General features: G+C 35.5%; 1 protein-coding gene and 1 pseudogene across 4 annotated transcripts in view; both read right to left on the bottom strand.

The window, feature by feature from the left end:
• CNTN1 (contactin 1) overlaps nt 1-23,352 on the bottom strand; it is a 379,977-nt gene that overhangs the window by 340,269 nt on the left and 16,356 nt on the right. The window lies entirely within an intron of this gene.
• LOC100420117 (methionyl aminopeptidase 1 pseudogene) lies at nt 2,780-3,365 on the bottom strand (annotated as a pseudogene).

Raw genomic sequence — 23,352 nt, 5'->3', positions numbered from 1 at the left:
TTCCATACGGTGAGGCAAATGGTTTAATGAGCAATTTCTCTAGCTTTTCTCATTTGCAATTTAACATTTCCTATTTTATAGTACAAATATTTTTTCAGTCATTGATTCAACAAATATTTTCAGATTTCCTTCTGCACCAAGAATGTAATGATTACCAAAACCAAATGCCTGTTCCCCAAGAGTTCATAATTTAGTGAAATATTATAAAGTAATACATGCATGTTATGTGCTTATTTTGTTCCTGTATTAGAATCTAATTAGACTGTTTAAATCACCCAAAAGAGCCCCAGTCAGAGATAACCACAGTTAAATTACTGGGATATTTAAATATGTATTTGTGTGTATTTATTAGGTTTGAATTCACTGTTTTTGTTGATTAGAAATGGTCAATAGTGGCAATTTGATACAGTTCAACCTAATTAATATATTCCATTGTATGGAATATATTAATTTTCTGCAGTTGAATACTGAAATTATTATCAATACTTTCTATAACAAGTAGTGCTAATAAACTATGGTATATTGCATACTTGGTCACATCAATCTTTATGTATATCTTTTCATTCTTTCCCCAATAAAAATCCCTGCGAGCAAAATATCTAAAGAATATGTACATTTTAAAAAACTTTTGAAATTTATATTTTTAAATTGTGCTGAGGATTTTTTGCTCAGACTGTTGTTTCCATTTCAATTTGACCAATGGTGTTTTGAAAATTAACGGTTGCTTTATCCATTTTCCCCATGGTTTTATATTATCTGTCAAATCAATTTTAGTCATTTATGGTTTACTAAAAAGTTTGTAATTCATTCCTGTTTGGCCTCTTTAAAAAATATAGAATTGTCATAGTATTTGCTTTATTGTTAAGGGAAAAAACACCCAAAATATGTTGTTATATCCCTCCCACCACCATTTCTAACATTATACATTTCTTTTCTCCTTTGTTTTCCTATATGTCTTGCCAAGGATTGGTCTATTTTAATGACCTTGTCAAAGAACAAATATTAAATTAAAAATGGCATTTCCCATTTTTATCCCAATTTTTAAATTTAAACTTTTGTTTTTGGTGACTTTTTTCTTCTTTACTCTCCTCAAGTATATATTTTTACTCTTTTTTTCTAATGCTTAGTTTGTTTAATTGTTAGTTTACTTATTTTCAGGCTTTACTATGCCCGTTGCATAATATCTTTTTTGATAGTCATTTAAACTTTTACATCTCATTCTACACATTATATTAACGTTTACATTGCAAGGCATTCCATCACAAATATTACAGATTGATGAAAACTTCACACACATACTCCCCCAAATTGAAACCAGATATAGTCACTTTACTAAATCAATAAAATAATAAAAGCAATGGAAATGTTATTATAACTATTTTAAAACAATAAGGCCTCAGACACTCTGGAAAAGATATTCTCTTACAACTATGATATAACATGTCAGTGGTATGAAATTATATTACATGAAAGTTAGCAAATACCCATTAATTAAGTCCACTCTAATAATGACAATGACTTTAGGATCTGATGTGTAGTCATTGGATACATTCCTATTTGGACAACTGTCAAAAGGAACATAGATATTGGGCAACTGAGGTCATTTCTAATGAGGTTCTCAACTATGTAAAGGTGAGGTGTGTTTTCAGGATACCATGGACAGTTACATCCCTGCTATAGTCACCATCAGGTTTACTAAACAGAATCTAACAGCACACTTGACTCACTGTGCTCACAGCTGGAGACACTTTAGAACTCTTTCCCCATCATCCTCCACAGTGCACCGTCCACCCTTCTCTGAGAATCTCCAAGGTATGCCCTTGAAATAAAATAAAGAAGAGAAGAAAAGGGGCTTTGCCCCTCCCATTTCTGACCAACTAGCGGTTTGGCATAGCAGTGTACTACAAAATTCTCATGCCCTGCAACAGTCAGCCACCACTGGGAGCATGGCTACTTTTGCCATAATCTAAACTTTAAAAAGCCTGATAATGAGAAAATGGGTGTGTAGAAAGATTTAGAGGGAGGGGACAGCACTGAAAGGAGTTGAGCAATGTTTCCTTTAATCTTCTCAGCTTTTTTAGACTCAAAACAAGTTCTTGAGGACACATATGAAATTGCTATAGTCCTTTCTTACCTTTGGTCAAAACAAAACAAATGATAAAAAATGTCCCCTTCCTTTCTCTACTCCCCCAAAAATGCATAGTACAGTAAGAAGGTACTATTGAGATGTGCTATTTTGGAAGAAATTAAAGTTGGGATATGTAGTGAGGCTATTCACTATCAAGTTGCCAGGTTAGCATTTCACAGCCAGTGTCTGTGACCAGCAAGGAATAGTGGAACCGAGCTGTCTCCTCACTGCAGTCCAACCTTCTGGCTAGGATTCATCCTGCCATCCACCTTCACAAATCATTGGCTCAACTGTAAATACATGGCTTGATTGTATCACACCAACTGCTTTATTTTAGGCACAATGGAGTGCATTGGGAGCTGTATGAAAAAGTTTGTGGACTCCATGCTCGCAATAGCTTCAAACAACTGAAAATTCATTTGCTTGGGCAGGCTTCTGAAATATGTTTCCCAATTCTCTGTATCAAACACCAGGTTTCACTGCATTGATGGCTTGCATGAGGCACTCATACGTGGTCTGAACAAATTTCCGTGCATCCTCATCCACACTGCCAATAAAATATGTCTTAATCATGTCCCCATCATAACCAATGCAATAAAGAGTGATGTCGACATTAACAATATCACCTTCTTCCAAGGACTGTCTGGAATTCTGTGGGAAAGTATAATAATTCAGAGGAGAAGGATAACAATTTCTTGCAATGCATTCTAAGTGTACAGCATGGTCTGTTCCTTCAGCAGTTACACCTGGCTTAACCAGCCCAGCAGCAATATTCAACACTTCTCTAGCAGCTTAGATACAAGTCGCATCCCTTTTGATCTTCAGATCAGAAAAATTTAACTTGAGAAGTATCTTTAAGAGCCTGTTCAGATTCAGACATTCCCAAGGAATGATCAGTAAAATCATCTTTGCCTATAACTTGGCACCAGTCTTGTTGTCATCAGTGGATAATGTGGCCTAAGTTTACCAGTGTATGGATATTAACACTGGCCCACGGGTCAGTGTTAATATCACCTTCTACAGTCCAGAAAGACACTTCTTGCTTTTCCTTTTCATCTTTTGCTTTCTTATGTAATAATTTGTGAGCAGCTCAATTTTCTTTGAAATATTCTGTGAGCAGAATTACAAGCCTTGGATGCCCAGTTGATGCAGGTAGGACAATAGAGATTGACCTGGGGACTCCAGCCACCTGTCTCCTTGGCCACCATGCTGCCTGCCTACTGGGGGAGCACTCACCCGGAAAGAGGAGGAGGAGGACGCTTGTGCATCATTTTATATGTACTTTTTAATCTCTGTTATTTTCTAAGCATGATAAAATTGTAAAAGTGACTATTTTCCTAAGAGTTAATTAAGAGAGTCATTTATCTCAAATGTAAAATGGTTTGATTTGGTAAACATTGTTGGTGTTTAGAGCCATTCCAAATCCCACTTCTCATCTGCCTTCCTTTCCTATAGAATGTGGATAGCCAACATTTTTGCCAAGTCCTTACAAGTAGGGTCTAGTTCTACCCAGTGAGATATTAACAGAAGTCGCTAGGTAGTATTTCCAGGAGAGCTCTGGAAGAAGTCTTACAGAGCTTACTACTAGTTGCCTTTTTTTAGGTCCTCTACCCTTCCCCTTGTTCCTGCCTGGATATGGTCACTTGCCCAAAGGCTTAGCAGTCATCTTCAACATGAGAATGAAACCACACGCTTAGGATACTATGGAGCGGGACAGGCAGGGAGAAAAAGCAGAGATACTTAAGAATGTCCTGGAGTTAATGCACAGATCTAAACTGCCTGCCTCTGGACTTCCTGTTTCATGAAAAAAACAAAGCCTTTTCTTACTTATACTACTTTCATTATGTTTTCTCCTTCTAGCTGCTAAAATTAATGTTAATTGAAAGCATGGCTGTTGTTGATGTCAGTCCTCAACCCGGAATCCTTTTTTACTAATCAGTATGAATGTCTCCCAGCTACTGTGACCACATAGCTGCACTCTTCTCTGGGAAACTGTCCTGGCCTAAGAAGATCTGCTTTACTCTGGGCATGACACACCAGCCAAGCCCTGCTGCTCTGCCTGAGGGCGGACACCTCTACAGGGTCATTTGGATGTGTGTTTACACTGGGAGTGACTGAGACTAGACTTCAGTCTCTCATCCCACTCAAATGCATTATTCTATTTCCCTTACTTACAGATTTGTCCTAAGTATATTTCCTTAATAAATCACTTGCATCTGGGAAGGCCTATCAAATTCAGTGCATATTTTTATGTTAGGATTTTTAATAAATATCCTATATGTATTTTATAGACAAAGGGTGTAGCATGCGTAGTTTTTGCTTTTTAGAATTTTTCAACAATTTGTCTATGGCCTAATATAGGATTGATTTTGTTTGGCTACATGGAAATTTGAAAATAAAGTGTTTTTTCTAAATAAGTTACAAGTTTAGTATGTAAGTTAATCTTATTAGTTCTATCACTTAAATCCAATATGTTTATATTATTTATCATTTGAATCTCCTTGTATTTATAATAGTGTTCTTAAAATTTGCATGTACATTTTCTGGCTCATTCAGGACCATTCTTTTTTTTTTTAATCTGTGATGTACATTTTCTTACCATTTATAAAACGAATCCTCTACATTCCATGTATCCTCTTTGCTTTGAATTCTGTTGAGTATTTCTGCTTTTCATTTGCTATTATATTTGCCTGACATTCTTCTCATTTTATTTACAGCTTTATGTCATTTTAAACATAATGACTAAAAACTTTTAAACTTTTCTCTTGTAAATAGCATATATCCGGAATTTTTTTTTGCCCCAATCTTAGAGTCTTTGATTTTTGTATTGTTTTTCCTTTTTTGACACTGTCCTTGAAGAAGTGTAATCATCACATTTATTATAGTGTATCACGCATTTTAAAAATATTTCCTCATGTTCTTTTTTATTATTAGAAATTTTTAATTATTATAATAAAAAAGAACATGAGGAAGTATTTTAAAGAAATAATTTTATTATTAGAATTTTTAAATTCTAATAATAAAAGACTTTTTAGATTAAAAATCAGATTAGAATTTTTTATTTAATTTTATTTAGATTTTTCATAATTAATTTTATTATAATGTTTAAATTCTAATAAAAAACATGAGAATTTTAAACATAAGTATTTTAGAGAAAATATACATTATGAAAATTGTGATGGCTAACTTATTTTAATTCATTTTCCTTTATTAGTTTGTCTACTGATTTTGAAGGCAAACATTCTATTTCTATTCCAACAGAGTTTTTTAAAACTTGAAATAAATTTCACATCTTTTATTGATATTATTAATATAAAAAGAAAAGAATTGTTGAATTATCCCTTAACATGGTTTGGCTCTGCCTCCCCACCCAAATCTCACTTCCAATTGTAATCCCTATAATCCCCATGTGTCAAGGGTGGGAACAGGTGGAGGTAATCGGATCATGGTGGTGGTTTCCCCCACACTTTTCTGGGGATAGTGAGTGAGTCTCAGGAGATCTGATGGTTGTATAAGCACCTGGCATTTCCCCTGCTTGCACTCAGTCCATCCTGCCACCCTGTGAAGAAGGTGCCTGCTTCTCCTTTGTCTTCCACAATGATTGTAAGTTTCCTGAGGTCTTGCCAGCCATGCAGAACTGTGAGTCAATGAAACCTCTTTCCTTTATAAATTACCCAGTGTGTGGTACTTCTTCATAGTAGTGTGAGAATGAACTAATACATCCTTTTTATCAAATTTCTTCATATGTACTATTTTAAACCAGAACATAGTTTCTGAATTGTTTTAACATGTTAATTTTCCTAAAATATTTTAATATTTGTGTTACTTTTTACCACATCAGCAATAATAAAGAATAGTTATATTCTAATTCTGGAGTGGGTAAAATTTATTTTCTTCTGTTTGCCACATTCTTTCCCCCTCCCTAGTCATTAAACAAAGGTTTTATTTTTCTTGAAATGTTAGATATTTTACCATACCTGTGTATTGATGTCTTCTCATCAGTTATTACTACACAAATGCTGACTCAAGACTTCCTTGAACTCATGAAACATTTTTTTCCTCACTATTTTAAATTATTGCTTCTCTTGTTTGCTGTTTTTTTTTTTAATTGAATGCCTACTAAACGCCTATGTAATCTCAGAGTTCTGGCCTCCTTGTGTCAAAGAAATATTGTACCAGCCAAATTTAACCAGGAAAGAAAAACTTTACTCAAGACTATTGCAATAGTGGAAAGGGATTAGACTCAACTCCACCAAAACAATAAGTGAGAGAGATTTTAAGAGCTGAGGTGAGCTAGTTGGACATGTACTGAAGGATGTTATGGTGAGACTCGTGATTAGGTCAACTGTGTTTGCTAATTGGCACTTGTTGAAATTAGATTCTACTCTCCTATAGAAACTAAGAGATAGGGGTAGGGGCACTATCTTCCTTAATGATTATATTTCAAAGGGATGGCTCCCAGGTCCTTGAGAAAGACATTCCTGGATTGTAAAACTGGCTAGAGGCTGGGCTGGGAAAAGATTTATGTACATCTCAAAGGGATAGAGAAAAAGAGAAAAAATTTCCCATTACAAATTTTCTTTTTTTTTCTTTCCTTTTTTTTTTTTTTTTTTTTTTGAGACAGAGTTTCACTTTTGTTGCCCAGGCTGGAGTGCAATGGTGTGATCTCGGCTCACCGCAACCTCTGCCTCTCAGGTTCAAGTGATTCTCCTGCCTCAGCCTCCTGAGTAGCTGGAATTACAGGCATGCACCACCACACCCTGCTAATTTTGTATCTTTAGCAGAGACAGGGTTTCTCCATGTTGGTCAGGCTGGTCTCGAACTCCCAACCTCAGGTGATCCACCGGCCTTGGCCTCCCAAAGTGCTGGGATTACAGGCATGAGCCACCACACCTGGCCCAATTACAAGTTTTCTAAGGTAAATCCCATAGAAAAGGGAGGTAACGGGCCTGAGACTTAGGAAGAAGCAAATTTAGTCAAGGTAAGTGGAACAAGTCTTTCTTGGTCACATGTCATTTGTCTTTTGTAATTTTGGTCTCTTTATATTTTTCTGAGTTCCAGGAGAATTTCCTGAACTTGTCATCTACATGGCTGATTTGGTAAAATTCCATCAATGATCTCTATTTTCTTTCAGGTTTTAAATGTAGCAATAGTGCTTTTCATTCCACACAATCTCTCATTGTTTCAGAGTATTTTCTCATCCATGATTCTTATTCTACCTTAATTGGAAAAGCATGTCCTTGGTTTATTTTCGATACCAGCATAATAAATTCAAAAATCCTTTATCGTGTGTTGTAGTAAACAATGTATAAATCTATACTGTCTTATTTTAAATATTACTATCTTTTGAACCAAAGTAAGTGTTCTTCTGTTTGCTCATGATCACGGAGGACAGTCTGTGCATTTTCAATACTGAGTATTGAGATAGGTTCTTCCAAAAAACTTATGTATCTATTTCAAAATATTTCTAGCACAAATGAAAGGAGAATGAAATAATTTTAAGTTCTTTTATTTTTATTTTGCTAGTCAGGAGATCCAATAGCCTAGGATAGTGGCAGACAGAAATTAAGTTGTGTTGGAAGTCAAGACAGGATCTATCAGCCTATATTGAAGCTGAGTTTTCTTTTTCTCTGTTGAAGAAATCAGTAGTTGGATGAGCCAAGCCTCTACTCTATGCCTGAAAGACACTCCTGTAGAAATCCAGGGATTGCAGTGGTGCCCTCTCTTTGTTCCCAGAATATGGCAGAATCTGACCATAACTGGCTTTTAAGAGAAAGGATTAGCAAACTTCTCCTAGTATCCGGGACCGACTTACACATTAGGCAGGCACAGAAGGCACAGTGCCTAGGGTACATGTTACATTTAGAGGTTCAAAAATGTTCTAATTTGTCTTTAAATTAGAAATGAAAAAATATAAAGATAATGAATATATAATAATGAATCCAGCCTCAACATACAAGGAATAGTATATATAAAATAATGAATATATAATAATGAATCCAGTCTTTATACCAAGGCAGAATATAATTTGTAACTCTCTCTGTCTCTGCTTCTCCTTTATAATTTATAATTCTCTTTCTCTTTCTATTGGAAGGAGAGGCCCAGGCAGTTAGAAGTGTCTAGGGTCCATGAAAGTCATAATGAGGCCCTGCTACCGTCTCTTCCACTTACCTTTTAGATAAACCATTTAAACACATGCAGAGATTCTTGGTCACATCAGTAGTTCCTTCAAACTAGTATGACTTCACTATATCTAGCAGAAATATGTTGGAGTTTCTAGTTGTGAATATCACCCATTGCCATATATCCCCTGTTTTTGTAACTTATTGCTTACTGTGGTACAATCCTAATAGGGCAAAAGGTGTGATCACTTCATGCCTGGAATGAATAACAGCTATAAAAGTTTCAGTCACCTCTAAGTCCATGAATAACACATCAAGTGTTTCATAAAACACTTTAAAAAACAAATCAGGGATAATAAAGTATATATTCTTTCAAAGCTCAAAAATCACTCAGATGAACATTTATATAGCCATATTCCACTTAGTTCCAGTTTCCTCCACTCTCTGGAAAAATTCTGAAGGTTCAATCTGGAAGTCTCATGAGAGTCATCTTGGAGGCTTTCGGGTTAATAAAACTGAAAGCGTAAAGCAGCTGAGGTTGGCTTCTTCACCAGACAACTACTTTAGTTATTAGAGATGAAATCTTAAAAGATTATGGAACAATTTAGCCCAGCAAAGGGAAATCTAATATGCAATGAAAATAATGATCCTGAATAGCTAAGAATTAATTATGTGGAATTCCACAGTCTAAAAACATCATCTGTTAGGCCTGGATGGAACAGCTTCCAGATAAGGAGCGAAGTCGGCCTACCTCCTCTGTGCCAGGCTCCCGCCAGTACATGCACTATCCCATGTCATCCTCTAACAGCTCTCTATGGCGGCTACTTTTATTATTAATATTTCATAGACAATAAAGCAGGCTGAGAGATTTTAAGTAACTTGCCTAAAGTCAGATCTAGTAAGGCGAGAGTGAAAGCCAATAAATTCTATTTAGTTCTTTGCTCTAAACTGATTACACAACTCTATCTTCAAAACACCTTTCCTTTACATAGGAAAAAAAATGCATTTGTTGGAGGGCTCTCATGAAAATTTTACTGCCTTATATACATTTTCCTTCAGCATATATGCAGAGGTTTTCTTACTGGCTGTGGTTTTGCTTTATTTTATTAAGAAATAAATTCAAATACACTTAGTAAAGAAAGAACCAGTTCTATTACTCTCTGAAATATTTTACATTACTAGACTTATTCTACATTAACACTACTTTTCTCCTGTACCACAAAATCCATACTATATATAATATATATAAAACATGGATAGTGTGTGCGTGCATGTGTGTGTACGTATGTATGTATATGTATATATCGGCCAACTGTTAGACTTTCAATAACTATTTTGACTCTCTGTTTGAGAGTGGAGTTTACTGTCACGAATCTCAATAAACTACAAGTGGCTTGAAGACATGGACAATATCTAATAGAGACCTTACAACCACTTTTCCAAAGCTCATAGGGCCAGATATGTTTTGGACCTAGGTATTTTTTATAATTTTTAGAAACTTGTGTATATGTGTGTATATACATGTTTGGAATAACAACATATAATCAAAGACATCCATATTTCTTCAGCAAAAACTGAATATTGTGAATATTCACACCAAGTGGAATAGATAAGATACAAATTGCCTTAAACCAGTTCAGAACAGGTTATCCTAACAAGTGAGTTCAGGTCAAGATCAAATTTTTGTCACCAAATGAGCCACAGACACTGCATGTTTAGTTTGAATTTCCATATTATAAGGAAGGAAATGTGGACCTGTACTTCTTTTGTCCCTGCTTAGCTCCCCTACAAGGTGTTTGTTAGCTGATGGAGAGAAGCCTGTTGTTCCCCACGGCTCAAACCAAAGGACTATAAATCATGCTGCTATAAAGACACATGCACACGTATGTTTATTGCGGCACTATTCACAATAGCAAAGACTTGGAACCAACCCAAATGTCCAACAATGATAGACTGGATTAAGAAAATGTGGCACATATACACCATGGAATACTATGCAGCCATAAAAAATGATGAGTTCATGTCCTTTGTAGGGACATGGATGAAATTGGAAATCGTCATTCTCAGTAAACTATCGCAAGGACAAAAAACCAAACACTGCATGTTCTCACTCATAGATGGGAATTGAACAATGAAAACACATAGACATAGGAAGGGGAACATCACACTCTGGGGACTGTTGTGGGGTGGGGGGAGGGGGGAGGGATAGCATTAGGAGATATACCTAATGCTAAATGACGAGTTAATGGGTGCAGCACACCAGCATGGCACATGTATACATATGTAACTAACCTGCACATTGTGCACATGTACCCTAAAACTTAAAGTATAATAATAATAATAATAATAATTAATGTAAGATGTCCCAATTCAGCAGACAGCATCCTTCATGATAAATTATAAAAATGAATATATTAAGTTTTGAGATTGAGAATCAAAGTCAAATTTTTCTTTGGCATTTCTCTTTGGCAGGGAAAATAAGTTGATGTTTTTAGAGACCTTTATATGACATAAAGAACCTTAAAACCTAGAAAAAAAGGTTCAATATAAAAAAAAGGAGGTGGTCCTGCCTATTTTTATAGTCATCATCCATGTAGCTACTTTGCCATTTTGGGGCAGAGAATGTGATAAGAAACATGACAAACTGGCACATGAGATTGCTATGAAAGAGGACGGAGATGGAATGCATTATATCCTTTATGTAAGTATCACTGTGTGAAACATAATTCTGATAAGTGAGATGTCTAGATAAGTGTGATGCCTGGGATTCCGAAAGAGGAGAGAGAGATTCAACTAATGCATTTGTTTTCTTAAATGAGAAAAAACATATTTCACTTTATATTTTACACATTCATAGCTGGATTTCAGTTTAAACAATCTGACTACATATATGTATAAATATATGTGTATATATGTTATAACATATATACACATATATATATATATTTCTCTTTTTTTGTTTTTTTGAGACAGAGTCTTCCTCTGTTACAAATAGGCTGGAGTGCAGTGGTGCGATCTCAGCTCACTGCAACCTCCAACTCCCTGGTTCGAGGGATTCCCCTGCCTCAGCCTCCCGAGTAGCTAGGATTACAGGCATGCACTGCCACGCCCAGCTAATATTTTTGTATTTTTAGTAGAGACAGGGTTTCACCATGTTGGCCAGGATGGTCTTGATCTCCTGACCTCGTGATCCACTCGCCTTAGCTTCCCAAAGTACTGGGATTACAGACATGAGCCACCGCGCCTGGCCTGACAATATATTTTAATTACACAAAAAATTGTTATGATTATTAAACTTTCAAGGAGATTTAAAATATCATTCAATTATCCATCTACTGTATTGTCTTTGCATTTCAAATACAATTCACTTCTCAAAAACACAAAACAAACAGTCACATAAACGAAATGGTATTTGACTCTGTGCCTTAATTCACTGGTTGTACTGCATGACTCGTGTGTGTGTACACATACACACACACACACACACCCCTTTGAGATGAGTGTTACTTATCCTGTGATCTAGCTATAGTATTTAACAATGAAATAAGCATACTCTTAATTAAGTCTTTAAAAGTCAATGAAAAAAACTAGAACCGAAGAGACCAAATTAGTACCAATAAATATGTTTTTCAAAACTTACTCTTTTGATTCTAACATATTTTAGAGATAAATATAGGTGAAAATAAAAACAAATAGTCTAATTCTTAGACTAGTCATGAGTAGACAAGTCTAAGAAAGCCACATTAGGCTTGGCGCGGTGGCTCATGCCTGTAATCCCAGCACTTTGGGAGGCCAAGGCAGGCAGAGCACGAGGTCAGGAGTTCAAGACCAGGCTGACCAACATGGTAAAACCCCATCTCTACTAAAAATACAAAAAAAAAAAAAAAAAAAAATTAACCGGGCGTGGTGCATGCGCCTGTAATCCCAGCTACTTAGAAGGCTGAGACAGGAGAATTGCTTGAACCCAGGAGGCGGAGCTTGCAGTGAGCCGTGATCGCGCCACTGCACTCCAGCCTGGGCAATAGAGCGAGACTCCGTCTCAAAAGAAAAAAAAACAGAAAGCCACATTGATGAATGTCGAACTATTCGGACCAAGATAAATCTTTTAACAAACTCTACTCTTTTAACTTTGCATGGTACTGACACATGGTAAATAATAAATATTTGCTTCGTTGTCTAAGATCTACAGTTATGTAGCAAGCATGTTATGTATTTCATTTGAACCATGCAAGAATATACTAAGCAAATAAGGATGATATATCTTATTGATCTCAAAGCACGATAAGATAATTTAAGTTTCACAATTACACATGGAATATAGTTAAGGTTTCAGTCTTGATTCAAAGATAGATTCTCTTTTTTCATAAAAGCTACTGCTTCTTTTCTTTCAGTTGTGACATTTAGTAACTCTTTTATAAGCCCGATCGATCATCAGGTTAAGAAGGACAACTAATTAGAATTTGCTTATAAAAAGCTTAGAAATTATACAGCAATTTTTGAGCTTAAAGAAGTTTATGATGTCTAAATGATTAGGCCTATATATAAAGCCTCCATAAATACCATACTCCGAAAATACAATTATCCTCAATCTTAAATCAAAGTAACTATTAATTCATCTTCCCATTGTGTTCATATATTACTGATTTATTTAGCAAACTCTAATATTATAAAAAAAGAATATCCATAAATTGCATTATTTCCTTTGATGACTCAGCAACTGTTAATTTTTCCATATTGAGCACATTATTTCTAACTGAATGGGCAACACTTGTTCAAGGGACAAATAAGTAAATGATTAACTTCAGTTGTTCAGTGTTTAAAAAGTTTTGAACCGTAATAACATGCAGGTAACCAAATAATGCTGATCTCAAATAGCCTCTGTTAAAAAAAAATCAACCCCTCCAAACATCCAAGGTGAGGGGAAAGAAAATGTGATGAAACCATCCTTCTAAGGGCATCTTTGGAAAATGTTCTCTAATGGGAAAAAAAAAAATCCCAGATATTCATCATATGAATAGCCAGGGCCCAGAAATGCACACAAAGGCCTTTTCAAATAAAGATAACAGTAGGGTGAGAGAAAGTTTTGAAGGGCAGGTGTGACGTCCATCAGATGTGACTCAGAATCCCAGCCCTATCACTTATTGACTCTAAACTTGTAACCTCACTTGACCTCAGTTTCTTCATCTTTAAATAGGGGATAGTAGTCTACCTCACAGTGCCATGTGAGGACTCTATTTAGTTGTACTGCTGCAACATGATGGGTTTTAGAACACTTTAGTCATTGCCCCTAGAGGCTTCCTTTTTTGCCCACTAGGACAAAAATAGTGGGCTCTACCAGCATGACTGAATTCACTGAACCCAGCCCCCAGTGTTGACTGGAAGCCTCTCGGGTTCCTTATCGGAGAAGGCACTGAAAAACACTGGGAATGATGGCTCACGCCTGTAATCCCAGCACTTTGGGAGGCCCAGGCGGGCGGATTATGAGGTCAGGAGATCGAGACCATCCTGGCCAACACGGCGAAACCCCATCTCTAGTAAAATACAAAAAAGAAAAAAAAAAATTAGCCGGGCATGGTAGCACGTGCCTGTAGTCCCAGCTACTCAGGAGGCTGAGGCAGGAGAATCGCTTGAACCTGGGAGGTGGAGGTTGCAGTGAGCCAAAATTGCGCCATTGCACTCCAGCCTGGCGACAGAGCAAGATTCTGTCTCAAAACAAAACAAAACAAAAAACCTTTCATGAACCTCAGGAAATATCCTTACAATTATTCAGCATGTTCTTGGTTTCAAATGAGAATGCACATTACTTTAAGAAAGAGATATCCGTCAGATGAGATAAAAGAAACTAAATAGACCCAATTCCATGTGAAAACATAAATAAAACACTGAGAAAAAATTAAAACTTAATCTACTTTTAAGTCATTCAATTAAAATTTAGAATCTTTCTTCTTTAAAGACAAAATATATAACCTATTTACAAAAAAGTCTCATTTTCTTAGTAACTTCAAAGCTCACTAAAGCTGATTAATATAGACCTAAAGATGATGAACCTAGTTTTGTGAGAATTCATGGGCACAATTACTTTTCAACAAGGCCCTATTTTGCTGAAGTAATCCACCAGGTGTCCCATGTTTACAGGAGCAATTTTATCCAGTGGTGCCCGCAATTCTAAAGCTTCAACTTAACCAATGCTAGAAAAACAAAACTATATTTCTACATAAAACTGTGAAATGACTTTCCTCATGATGTCATAAGGCTCCTTCAAGAAACTGACTTGAAATAAAATAAATGAAGTTCATCTGAAAATGATTTTATATTTACAAATATTGACACCAGGTGAATGAGCACAAATTCACTTATTTTAAATACCAATTTGGATGGGTAGCTGAAGTTTAAATAAGAATGTACTTTGGAACTGAAAGGAAGAAAAAAATTTTTAGGTCGGAAATCCAATGCATATCAAGAATATAATAACTATACCCTATGACATTCTTCAAAGCCCTTTATGTGAAAAGTAGCTCAGTGTTCATTTTAGTTGAGTTTAATGGATTTATTATTTATAATTTTAGGTTAATGAATGTCCTGTATTGATTTTCTTATTTATATATACATTTAGGTAAAACAACAGCTTCTATACAGAGGTTCAACTGTGTTTCAGCTTAATACAAATGACTGTTAAAGAGAGTGAGAGTAGTAATTTTAGTCAACTTTTTGCTTGTACTGGGTTCAGGTTTTGATCTCAGTCTCCAGTAGTTACTGAATCAATGACTATGTGCAAGTTATTTCACTTTTCTGAGCCTTTCTTATAAAACAGAAAAAAAATAACACTTTTGGCTAGCTGTGAGGGTTACATAAAAATATGTACAAAAGACTTTGTACACATCTATTAATATATAAACCATTATTTTCTCTTTCCCCATTGCTCTAAAAAGATGTTGTGAAGATTAAATAAGATTATAAAACACATCTAAAAGAGCTTTGTAATTGTTAGCTTTAAAGTGTTGTTAATATACATGGGAGCAGGTTATATTTATCTGTTTTTAAGTAGACTGATTTCTACATGGGTTCCTTAACATCAGAGAAGAAAGAATTTCTGGTGTTCTCTCTGATATGGTTCATTTATTCTTAGTATCAGAGGTTTACCCTCATCTTGTCCCTGTAACTACGTAATGAGATCACAGATGGTTTTCAACTACAATTACAGTAATAATTGTTGCCAAATTCTCAATCTAAACTATCTATGTATCTTCCAATGCCCTTTTCATTGAAGGCTAAGCCAATGAGTTTCAGATATACTTGGAAATGCAGCTAGTGTCTCAGTCTCTAGATACATTTGTAATTGCCCATGTCCAACACCCAGGTGGTGTAGGCAAAGCTTTATCAAGTGTATATTTTGAAGGATACATTCCTCCTTACATGGGACTTTCAACATTTGTTAGAGGTTGTCTCTTGTCCCAAGGTATTTAGATTTGTGGAAGAATAAAGGAGGAGAAGGAGAAGGAGGAGAAAAAAGAGGAAGAAGAAAGAAGAAAAGGGAGGAGGAGAAGAGGAGGAAGGGGAAGGAGGAAAGGAAGGGAGGGAAAGGAGAGAGGAGGAAGAAAGGGAGAGAGAGGAAGGAAAGGAGGAGGGAGGGAAGGAAGGGAAGAAGAAAAGGAGAGAGAGAGACACAGAGAGAGAGAGAAGGAATGGAAGCATCTAGTACCCTTGCAAGGATGCTGGGGCCAGTCCCTCATTACTTAACAATCTCTTGCCATGGAAAAGTTTATCCTTTTTTTCAAGCTTCTTTCCTTAGATTTTTTTTAAAGTTACCTTTTGAGTTTATGTGAGGCTTAGAGATAGTATTTTTAGAATGCCCTCTGTAGTGCCTGACATAAAGAAAGTAGGTCTCAAGAAATGGTAGTTGTCTTCATATCTGCACCTCTCCCTCCTTAACTATTATCCTCTATCCATCTCCCTATGTCAAGATGCAAGCCCAAACTAACTAACTCTGAATGTCTGAATGGTGGTGTCCAGGCATCAGATCAGTATTGTTAAAGTTACCCAGGTGATTTTAACATTCAACTAGGTTGTGAGTCACTCTACCATCCTGACTTTTAAAATATTACAGATATCTGTGGAATTTGATTCTTAATCTCAAGGGTGCATTTACTAGTGATTTGTGATGGCAAATTACATCAACTCCTCTGACTGCTAAATTATAAGAGATTTGAAATCAGTTAATGAAAAAGCTTCAGATCTGTTCCACTGGCTCTCCCAAAGGCTTGATTGTAATAAAAACTTGAGACCCTAACAGATTTATTGCTTAAAAGCAACAGGAATGTCAATATTTTCTCCAACACAAGGGGAATCAAATCAAGCCCTGGAAGACTATTTAGTTGTTTTTTAATATCAAGTTCATGCAAAAGTTCATGCGGTTACTTTTGCACCAATTAATAAAAAAAATTAGTAATGTTAAATGAAGGCAAAAAAAATCCTGCTAATGCGGCTATCCTATGCATAAACGAATCTGTTTTGTTCTTTTCTCCCATTAATACTCTTGGCATCATTATCATTTTCTGAGATAAGAGTTACCAGTTAACAGAGAAGTGTTGGCACTAAAGTTACTACTTAGGGCAGTGGTACCCAAAGGAGGCTCTCAAAAAAGCAGTACCACCATCACCTGAGAGCTTGTTAAAATGCAAATTATCAGGCCCCACTCCAGACCTAATGAATTAGACTTTTCGATAGCGGGGTCAAGGAATCTGTTTTAACAAGCAATTCCAGTGATATTCAATGTACATTTATGCTTAACAATCATGGGCTTAGAGGAAATCTAAAACAAACGAAATTCAGTTCTTAATCCATGGTATTAGATTTTCTTATCGCATGTCTTTCTACATCCATTTTTTAATTTTTCTACAAAAATGCTTACAAAATAGTTTTCTTTCACAGAGAATTTTTCAATCCACTGCAGAATGACCATGAGGACTTGAAGTTCTTGTCTAAAGTCAATATTTACCTCTTTTTTAAGAAACAAAAGACTTTCAGTCTATTTTTGAGTGGATCACATACAGAGCATAGAGTTAAATATCAAAGGCATATTTTGTTTCAGCAGGTCCTGAGGCAGTAAGAATCCCTCGGGAACTGGATAGTACAAAATCCCAAAGTTTCAGAAGCTGCAGAATATTCATATGATATAGTCACTTTTAGCTCACTGAAATATAATCTTGCATTTTAGTTGCTTCATTTCTATAAAAAAAATTCATGTTAAATAGCATTTTTGACAACCCTGACATCTTACAAGGTAATCAGTTCAAGGCTGAATAAATGAAAGCCTGCAGGAAAGCTGATTCAACATGTCACTTCTTAAAGCAAATAATATATAATATTGATCTCAACCTCTATTTCTGTGAAGATATAAAACATAAGAGCATCTTGATAATAAAGGATTAGACATGCTACTGTATCTTTTCATTTTCCAATAAAGATGGATAACGTAACTTCACAAATAATCAACATTTTAATCATGCCTATGTTGGAGAGATGGGGGAAGGTGCTATTATTCAGTAATATGGGATCATTTGTGTAAGATTTACAGTTACTATCCAGCAACCCATTGATTCCAGAAACACACATACTGTTCCACTTTTCTTCATGAAGTGCCCAAACTGCTTGACTTTCTTGAGTTTATTAATGTTTAAAGTGAAAATCTGCTTTTTGAAAATCCAAAAATCTTTAATATGTGTCTATCTGTGAAGAATTTTCAAACAGACAAGATGCTAAGTCAAATTCCAATTGTAAGTTCTTTAAGTAGAGAATGCTATTTTCTGAATAACACAAACAAAAAATAAAACAGCTGGTAATCATTCCCATCTCACACCACATAGATAGTCAAAGAATAAAATAAGATCTTTCCAGTGATCGGCAGAATCCCAGTTACCCACCAGGGAGGTCACTTGACCTAATCCTGTTCCTCTTAGCAGTGAGAAATAGAGAAGAGCGTAATTTCATAATACAGGGGAAAAAGGTATGATTCTGTCATTAAACAATAGATTTGACCAAAGCACTAAATGTGGAAAAGACATATGACTCTATTTTTCAGTGGTTCTCATAGTAATAATGCACAGGGGTTTTGGATTGGACATTTCATTTACTTTTTTGTTTATTGTATTGGGAACATATAGAGTTCCTTCATTCTCCCTAAATACTGACTTTCTTTTCCTATGCCTTATGGCATATTTTTAACATGATAGGACCTTAAAAATATTACATCTACAGCCAACTTCTCTAGCACTTTCATTAGTCAAATGTTTTTTATGGTGTGTGGGGGGCATTTATATGTGTTATGTCATTCTATATAAATAGAAAAATCAACCCATGATAATATTCCAAATAATCAATAGGTTATTAGCATAAAGAAACAGAAATCACTGAGTAAGTTTATTCTGCATTTAAATATATATATATATACTTTATTTAGTATAATATAAACAAGTATGATAACAACCATGATAAAATGCTCCTCAGTATGACAGTATTGATTTTGTCCAACATCAAGTTTATTTAAATTTCTGCTCAATAAATCCCTGTAACTATTCCCATGAACTATATCAATCCATGACTTGAGGGAGAAAAAATACTCCTCTAGATGACATAAATCACTTCAATTATATTTTTGAGAAAGCAGTAAAAAAAAAAAAGCCATGATATAGGATTCAAAATAAAAGGCTCAGTTCATTTAAAAACTTTTTAATGGAATGTACTTGGTTTTGAAATGAATGCAAAAATAATGTCCTGAGCAGGAGCAGAAGCTAGTGGTGTTTTTCTTGCACAGTTTGCAGAACCATGAGCCAAATAAACCTCTTTTCTTTATACATTACACAGCCTCTGGTATTCCTTTATAGCAATACAAGCAAGAGTGCTAAGGGAAGTGCCAGACTTTTTTTTAACAACCAGCTCTCATGGGAATTAAGAAATAACTCACATCCCCCGATTACCTGCAGGATGACAGCAAGCCGTTCATGAGGGATCCTCCCTGATGACCCTAATATTTTCCATTAGGCTACACCACCAACATTGGGAATTAAATTTCAAAATGAGGTTTTGGGGAACAAACATCCAAACGATAGCATATTACAATGGTTCCTGAAATTTAAAAGAAAAATCCAGAAGATGGTTTTATTAAATTTCTAGGAATTGAGTTATATCAATCAGCTATTGTCTGATAATGCTGCAAAATAAACATTCCCAAATTACAACAGGCATTTATTTTTTTCTTGCTCATAGGTCCACAGTTTGACTGGGCCAGTTACACGTTAGGCTATGGGGTTGGTTGGGCTTGCTCTAAGCTTTGTATTGAGTTCAACTCTGCTCAGATCTCTCCACATCCACCTTGGATCAGCAGGTTCCTAGCATATGTGCTTCTCAAGGCAGATGACAGAGTATAAGAACCAAGCATTACTATCACACTAGTCTTTAAGTAAAAAAATAAAATAAAATAAAATAAAATAGCAGATACACATTTGAAACCTCTACTTAGTTCCTATCCACTACTATTACATTGGTCACAGAAAATCATATGGCCTAGCACAACATCAACTGACATGGCAGTATGCTCTATCACAGTAGGAATAGAAGATAAATGAAAATTTGCTGAAAAACAAATCCAAACTATCAAAAGTTTTTTCCAAGAAGAAAAATTGAACAGTGTTAATTAGTGATGAAAGGTCTAGTAAGATAACATCTGAAAAGTATTCATAGAATTTATGAAATAAGGATATTTTAGTGACCTAGTAAAGTGCAGCTTTAATAAAATAATAAAAAGCAGATTTCAGAGGTATAGAGTGAATTCAAGGCAAAGAACCGTGAAGTAAGCATAGATGAATGTTTAAAGAAATTTGGGGCTGGGCACATTGGCTCACTCCTGTAATACCAACACTTTGGGAAACTGAGACAAGACAATCACTTCAGGCCAGGAGTTAGAGAACAGCTTGGAAAACATAGCAAACATAGCAAGACCTCTTCTCTACAAAGAAAAATAACAGGCTAGCCATAATGGCAAGTGCCTGTAGTGCCAGCTACTTGGGAAGCTGAGATGGGAGGATCACTTGAGCTCAGGAGTTTGAGGTTATGGTGAGCTATTAATTATACCACTGCACTCCAGCATGGAAGACAGAGCAAGATCCTGTCTCTTAAAAAAAGAAGAAAAGGTGGAAGAGTAGGAAGAGGAGGAGGAGGAGGAGGAGAAGAAACAAAGAAAGAAAGAAATTTGGCTACAAAAGAGAAGAAGGAGAAATGACTGTGGTCATTAGTTGGGGGTGCAAAAGTTTAAGGAGAGTTTTCGTTTGTTTAATTTCTTCTGCATTGTTTTTAAGATAAAGAGAGTTAGCCAAGCATAAATCCTGACATCAGGAAGTCAATAGAGAGGGTAAGGTTTAGGATACAAGGAAGAAGTGATAATGAATACAGTGAGGTCCCTAAAAATGTGAAGGGATATAACCCAGAACCCAAGAGGAGAAAGAAGACTTGACCAAAATTGGCTTTACTTTTTCTCTACAATAAATTGGGTGGAAGAGATTTTGAAACTACAGACCAGTAATTCTGAAAAGGGAAGAGAAAAATGAAAGAAAAACATAGCTAGAAAAGTTAGTAGAGAAACATAACCCAAAAGTTTGAAGGCAGGAGAATTCTAGAATTGACAGGGAAAGACTGAAATTTCTGGAGTAGAAACTTCTGAGCACAAGAGAAAATTTCCCTTCATGTTGTGGAAAGTTGAGATCCACAGCACCAGTAGAGGGATTAGAAATATGAAAGAGAAGAGATTCCTCTCTCTGACAGGTTTAAAGGATAGCTGTAGAAATAGTGATGCTGAGGTGAAGCCGAATTTAACTAAGATATTACACCTCAGAGTGATATTTTTAGCAATATAAGTATTAGTGTCTTCTTCTAGAAGAGGTTCCAAAGCATGTGGAAAAAGGCTGAATTTAAAATTCAAAAGTAGAAATAACTAGCTTATGTGTGAGTTACACTATGAAATCTAAAAAGATAAAATAATTGTTGAGAACAGCAAGATTGTCTCTACCTGTATATTTGCAAGAACCCATAAGAAATTCCTTGGTTTTGCAGTATTCTTTTTAGAAATAGAGGACAATATGAATAAATAATATTTGTAAAAACAGTTGTAACATTGTTTTACAAGTCTGTACTCAAAAAATATCTTAAATGAATACCAGTCACTATATTCATATCTACCACCTTAGATCAGATATTAGATTTCCATATTCAGTGGAAATTTATCAGTACAGCTATACCTCATTTTATTGGACTTCACTTTATTGCACTTCACAGACATTACATTTGTTTACAAATTGAAGTTTTGTGGCAACCGTGTGTCAAGTAAGTCTACTGGCATCATTTTTCCAACAGCATGAGCTCACTTCTTATCTCTGTGTCATCGTTTGGTAATTCTCACAATATTTCAAACTTTTTCATTATTATTATATGTGTTATGGTGATCTGTGATTGGCGATCTTTGATTTTACTATTGTAATTGTTTTGGGGTGCCATGAACTGCACCTACGTAAGATTTAATTGATACTTAATCAATAGGTGTTCTGACTGCTCCACCAAGGGCTAATTCCTCCATCTTTCTCCCTCTCCTCAGGCCTTCCCATTCCTTGAGACAACAATATTGAAATTAGTTCAGATAACCCTACAATGGCCTCTAAGATTCATAAGATTTCATAAGATTTTAGCTGCCATAGTGATTCCTCTGATGGTTCTGGGAAAAAAGTCAAATAAAATGGCCTCCAAGTGTTCAATTGAAAGGAAGAGTCCCACATCTCTCACTTTAAATCAAAAGCTAAAAATTATTAAGATTAGTAAGGAAGCTATGTGGAAAGCTAAGAAAAAACCTGGGGCTCCTGGCGAAATAGCTAAGTTGTGAATATAAAGGAAAAATTCTTGAAAAAATGTAACAGTACTACTTTAGTGTACACACAAATAAGAAAGACAATCAGACTTATTGCTGATAATGGAGAAAGTTTGAGTAGCCTTGATAGAAGTCAAACCAGCCACAACATTCCCTTAAGCCAAAGCCTAAGCCAGAGCAAGGCCCTGACTCTCTTCCATTGTATGAATGCTAAAAGAAGAGCTGGAAGCTAGCAGAGGTTGGTTCATGAGGTTTAAGGAAAGAAGTCATCTCCATAACATAAAAATGTGAAGTGAAGCAGGATGTGGTGATGTAAAAGCTGCAACAAGTTATTCAGAAGATCTAGCTAAGCTCACTGATGAAGGTGGCTACACTAAACAACATAATTTCAACGTAAACGAAACAGCCTTATACTGGAAAAAGATGCCATCTAGGACTTTCAGAGCTAAAAAGGAGAAGTCAACACCTGGGTTCAAAATTTCAAGACAGGTTGACTTTCTTGTTAGTAGCTAATGTAGCTTCTGACTTTAATCTGAAGCCAATACTCATTTAGCATTCTGAAAATTCTAGGGCACTTAAGAATTACGCTAACTCTACTCTGCCTGTGCTCTGTAAATAGAACAACAAAGTCTGGATGTAGCATATCTGTTTACAGCATGGTTTACTAAATATTTTAAGCCCACTGTTGAGACCGACTGCTCAGAAAAAAAACAATCTTTTCAAAATATTACTGCTCATTGACAATGCACCTGGTCACCCAAGAGCACTGGGGGAGATGTATGAAGAGACTGCTGTTATTTTCATGACTGCTAACATAACATCCATTCTGCAGCCATGAATCAAGGAGTAATTCTGACTTTCAAGTTTTTTTTATTTAGGAAATACCTTTCATAAGATTTTAGCTGCATAGATACTAATTCCTCTGATGGATCTGGGAAAAAATCAGTTAAAAATCTTTTGAAAAGAATTTACTATTTTAGATGTCATTGAGTACATTTGGGAGGAAGTCAAATCGAAGTATCAGTATTAACAGGAGTTTGGAAGAAGTTGAATTTGAGGAGTTCAATATTTCAGTGGAGAAAATAAATGCAAAAGTGGTAGAAATAGCAAGAAAAATAGAATTAGAAGTGGAGCTCGAATATTTGACTGAATTGCTATAATCTCATGATAAAACTGTTACAGAAGAGGAGTTGCTT

This window comes from Homo sapiens, chromosome 12, assembly GCF_000001405.40.
Source record: "Homo sapiens chromosome 12, GRCh38.p14 Primary Assembly".
In the NCBI taxonomy this organism is placed as follows: domain Eukaryota; kingdom Metazoa; phylum Chordata; class Mammalia; order Primates; family Hominidae; genus Homo; species Homo sapiens.
This window is presented reverse-complemented; position numbering and strand designations above follow the sequence as displayed.